This window comes from Homo sapiens, chromosome 7 (genome assembly GCF_000001405.40).
Source record: "Homo sapiens chromosome 7, GRCh38.p14 Primary Assembly".
In the NCBI taxonomy this organism is placed as follows: Eukaryota; Metazoa; Chordata; class Mammalia; order Primates; family Hominidae; genus Homo; species Homo sapiens.
This window is the reverse complement of record NC_000007.14, coordinates 46,111,518-46,116,522: the sequence shown is the minus strand read 5'-3', so window position 1 is coordinate 46,116,522 and position 5,005 is coordinate 46,111,518. Positions and strand designations below refer to the sequence as shown.

The window sequence follows — 5,005 nt, the reverse complement described above, 5'->3', positions numbered from 1 at the left end:
TAAAGGCAAAAAAAAGCACTGTACTCTATTGAATAAAGCTGTTGCCCATGAAAGTATGGGTTAACAAGTCTAATACTGCTATACATGTATGCTGAAATTTAGCAAGTAAATAAATGAATATGGGCAGTGAAAACCAGGTTTCTCAGATGGGAATTTACATATAAGCAAGGGGAGGGGGCTAGAATGATGGTGTGGTGATGGATTAGATTTAGAGTTATCAGTAGGAACATAGTTTAGCTTAATGTGGACTCAGTGGGTACATATAGAAATGTGTGTGTGTGTGTGCGTGCGCGTGCACGTTAGTGTGTGTCTACACATCGGTTAGTACCCTCAGTTATATTTTCTTGTGCTATCAGCTGAGATAGCAACTACCTAGCAGCAACTACATCCCAGTAGCAATGAGCACATTTAACACCAGGTCCTGGTTTCCAATACCGTCTCCAATAAACAAATCCTCCTTGGAGGATTGGCTGATTACATGTCCATAGCAAATAATATACAGGATGAGCCTGGAGCATGTTAGCCTGGAGCCAGAAAGGAAGAAAGTGGACCAAAAAAATGGGAGCTTGTTAAAAAGAGCAAAGAAAACCTGAGAGAGCTCTCAATAGCCAAATGTAAAGCAATTTGGGCAACAGAATAAAGAAGTTTTTGATAACCTAAACCATAGATTTCCATAAGTCCATACTGAGATCCATGATTTAATGAATAAATAGAAAAAAAAATGGAAAATCTCACATGCAGAAGAATTTCAAATAATTTATGCAGGGTCCACTTTCAAGGAGATGAAGCTTGACTCCCACTCCTCAAGTACAGGTTGTACATAGTGACTTCCACCCAAAGAGTATGCTTTGGAGAAGGCGAAAGAAGAACTTTACAGTGGAGAGGCTTGATAATCATGACCTCAGCCAGCTGAGTAAGGTCAATGTCAACGGTGGTGAGTCATGTTGAAGTGATGTGCCCCTGATATGATGTGATAAAAATAACTGTTTATTTCTGTAGTCTTCCTACCAATAACGCATAAATTGAGTCTAATAGAAAAAAATCAGAAATCCAAATTGAGGAACATTCTATAAAATACCTGACTAGTCCTCCTCACAACTGTCAAGGTTATCAAAAACAAGGGAATTCCGAGAAACTGTCACAACCAACAGGAGCCTAAGGAGACATAATGACTAAATGTAATGTGGGAAGCCAGATGGAATCCTGGAAATGAAAATAGACATTAGATACAAACTAAGGAAATCCATACGAAATCTGTTCTTTAGTTAATAATCTATCAATATTGGTTCATTATTTACAACAAATATACCACTCTAATATAAGATAATCTTAGGAAAAACAGTGAGAGAATTCTTCTAGCCATCTTTACAAGTTTACCATAAACTGAATACTGTCCCTTAAAATGTTTATTTAAAAAACCCTACAACAAATATAATAAACAATGGTGAAAGAGTGAATGTTTTTCCCTCAAGAGTGGCAAAAATCCAGGCATACCCACTCTCACTGCTCTTATTCAACATCCGACTGGAAGTCCTAGCAATAGGGCAAGAAAAGGAAATAAAAGGCATACAAATCAAAAAAGGAAAACATAAAATTGTCCCTATTTTCACATGACTTGTCTACCGAGAAGATCCCAAGGAATCACCCAAAAACCCTCTAGAACTAATAAGCAAGTTCAGTAAGTTTGTAGAATAAAGATCATCACACAAAAATTAATTGCATGTGTATATACAAACAACAAACATGAGGAAACCAAAATTAAAAAGCAAATATCATTTACTGTCGCTCAAGAAAAAAGAGAGAGAGAGAAGGGAACTAACTAGAGGTTTAGCAAAACAAGTATAGGACCTGTATGTCGAAAGTTACAAAATACTGATAAAAGATGTTAAAGAAAATTTAATAAATATAGAAACATACCAGGAGCATGGGTTAAGAGATTCAATATACCAAAGATGTCATTTCTGCCCAAATTGACCTACAGGTTTAATATACTCTTATAAAAAATCCCAGTGATAGTTCTTGTAGACATAGACAAGCTTATTGTAAAACATAAATAGAAAGCCAAGGAACTAAAATAGCTAAAGCAATTTTGGAAAAAAAAAAAAAAAGAATGAAGTAGCAGGATGTTAAGATTTACTGTATTACCACAATGATTGAGACAGTAGAGTATTGTTGGAGACAGGCACCAATGTGACTGTCAATGGAGCACACTAATGAACTTATAAACAGATGATAACAACTGGGTTTTGACAGACAAAAGTAATTTAATATAAGAAGGGTATTTTCGATAAATGGTGTTGCAAAAGGTGGAAATCCATAGGCAAAATAAACAAGTAAGTAGATGATACATAGGTGATAGATAGATAGATGATAGACAATAAATAGATAAGAGGCAGATAACCTCAACATAAATCTCACACCATCTATGTACAAAAATTAAAAATATGTCATGGAATTAAGTATAAAATATAAAACTATAAAATGTTCAGACCTATGTGACAGTTCTAGGACTTGACACCAAAAGCACAATTCATAAAAAAATTGATTAGACTTCACTAAAATTTGACAAATTAGATTTCATCAAATTTAAAAATTTGGGGTAGGATAGGGGAGTAGTGAGGATGATTCATGGGTACAAAAAAATAGAAAGAATTGATAAGACCTAATTTTCGATAGCACCACAGGGTGACTATAGTCAATAACAATTTAACTGTATATTCTAAAATAACTTAAAGAGTGTAATTGGTGGTGTGAACCTGTGGTCCCAGTTATTAGGAAGGCTGAGGTGGAAATGTCACCTGAGCCTGAGAGGTGGAGGTTACAGGGATCCAAGATAGTGTCACTGCACTCCAGCCTGGGTGACAGAGTGAGACCCTGTCTCAAAAAAGAGAGAGAGAGAGACAGAATGTAATTGGATTGTTTGTAACTCAAAGGATAAATGCTTGGGGGGATGGAAACCCCATTCTCCATGGTGTGCTTATTTCACTTTGCATACCTGTATCAAAACATGAACCCCATAAATATACATACCTACCTACTGTGTACCCACAAAAATTAAAAATTAAAAAATTTAAATTTGAAAACTGGCACCATGAAAGAAAGAGGAGAAAAAGACAGGGTAGAGACTAGGAGACAGTATTTGCAAACCACATATTTAAAAAAGCTCTTAATCACTTTATGTATAAAAAGAGCTCTTAAAATTCAACAGTTAAAAAAATACAGTCCAGGTAAAAAGTGGAAAAAGACATGAAGAGACATTGCATCAAAGAGTAAATACAGATGGCAAATAAACACATAATGCAGGAGTTTATGTCTAGTTGTAACTAGTTCAAAATGACTAGCCTTTAGGGAAATGCAAATTTCCCTGATAGTGAGAAATCTCTATCAGAATGGCTAAAATGAAAAAAAAAATAGCACCAAATGCTGGCGAGGATGTGGAGAAATTAGGCCTCCTAGGAAAGGCACTACATTCCTAAAAATAATAGTCTCTAAACAAGCTCTCTGGCTTTGTACAAATTCCAACAAAATAAAACTTTTTTTTCCTTTACCAGCTCCTAACACGCAAGCTTGATATGATCCTGCACAATCTCCAATATCAGACAATCAAAGAGCTCCTCTTACTTTTATTAAAAAGAGCAAAGAGATAAAAATCCTAGCCACATCGTAAGATGGGAGTTCAAGGAGAAAATGAACAAATCCCCCCTTATAAAGCAGATTTACTTGAAGAAACAGGAGAAAACTAGAGAAAGGCTTAACATTTTATTGAGATTTGGTGAAAAAAAACTATTGGACCATGAATTAATTTTTAATGTTGGTGAAAACTAGCAAATTTCTCAAATGAAGTTGAGGCAGTAAATAGCAGGTTAGGATACAGAGAAAAAGAAAGGAAATACCAGATTACTAAATACCCCAGAACAAAAAGAAAAAGTTTAAACATTATAAGATAAGTAAGTATATAAAGAATAATACAGGGAGATCAGAAAGCCAATGCAATTTATGTGGTAATTTCAACTAAACAAACAAAAATATATAGTTAAGAAAGAGTAATCAAATTACAAATATGGGAAAATAATCTCTCAATTGAAAATATCAGATTCAAAGGAACTGTCATATTCTAGATGGAATTAATGGGGAGTAGCCAAACCTAGATGTTCCTTAATTAAATGTTCCAATTTTAAGGTTAAGTGAAACTTGGCAAGTCCTTGGAATATACAAATGCATCAATTCACTGGTCATTTAAAGTGACCTGCAAAGGAAAGCAACTGTATTGATACCATCATCCTCAAACATCAGATATCAAACGTCAGTGTCAAACATCCTCAAATGTAGACGACCACGGAGCGATACTTAAAGAATTTTGAAGCAAAAATACTTTTTAAATTTTCTTAAATTTTAATAGTTTCGGGGGTACAGGTGGTTTTTGGTTACACGGATAAATTCTTTAGTGGTGATTTCTAGGAATTTTTAGTGCACCCATCACCTGAGCAGTGTGGTCTTTTTTCCAATGTGTAGTCTTCTATCCCTCATTCCCCCTCCCAATCTTCTCTCCTCAGTCCCCAAAGTCTTTTACAACATTCTTATGCCTTTGCATCCTCATAGGTTAGTTCCCACTTATAAGTGAGAACATACGGTATTTGGTTTTCCATTTCTGCTTACTTCACTTAGACTAATGACCTCCAGTTCTATCCAAGCTGAAGCAAAAATATTCTGATATAAGTATTCTTAAATTACTTATTTGAACCCAAAAGGAAGACAGCTTTAGATGTGCAGAAAAACTGAAATTATGTGTGCCAGTGTTTCACCCTGAAAAGAAAATTCTCAAAGAAATTATCCAGCTGGTGGTGAAATAAAATAAAATAATGAATTCAAAAAGATATTTTATAAAAATGGATAGTAATGAGCAAAGCACAATTAAGTTCTACACAAATCAAAATGTTCTAACACAAGTAAATGGTCACAAATATGAAAAGAGAAGATGCATGGTACACAATTTAATTAATTATAA

General features: G+C 34.5%; 1 annotated feature.

Annotated features, from left to right (window-relative positions):
- Nucleotides 845-1,045: a silencer, noted in NCBI's record as "peak6509 fragment used in MPRA reporter construct". NCBI's record gives its function as "represses an SCP1 promoter by STARR-seq MPRAs in K562 erythroleukemia cells {active_cell/tissue: K562}" and the evidence as "EXISTENCE:reporter gene assay evidence [ECO:0000049][PMID:32103011]".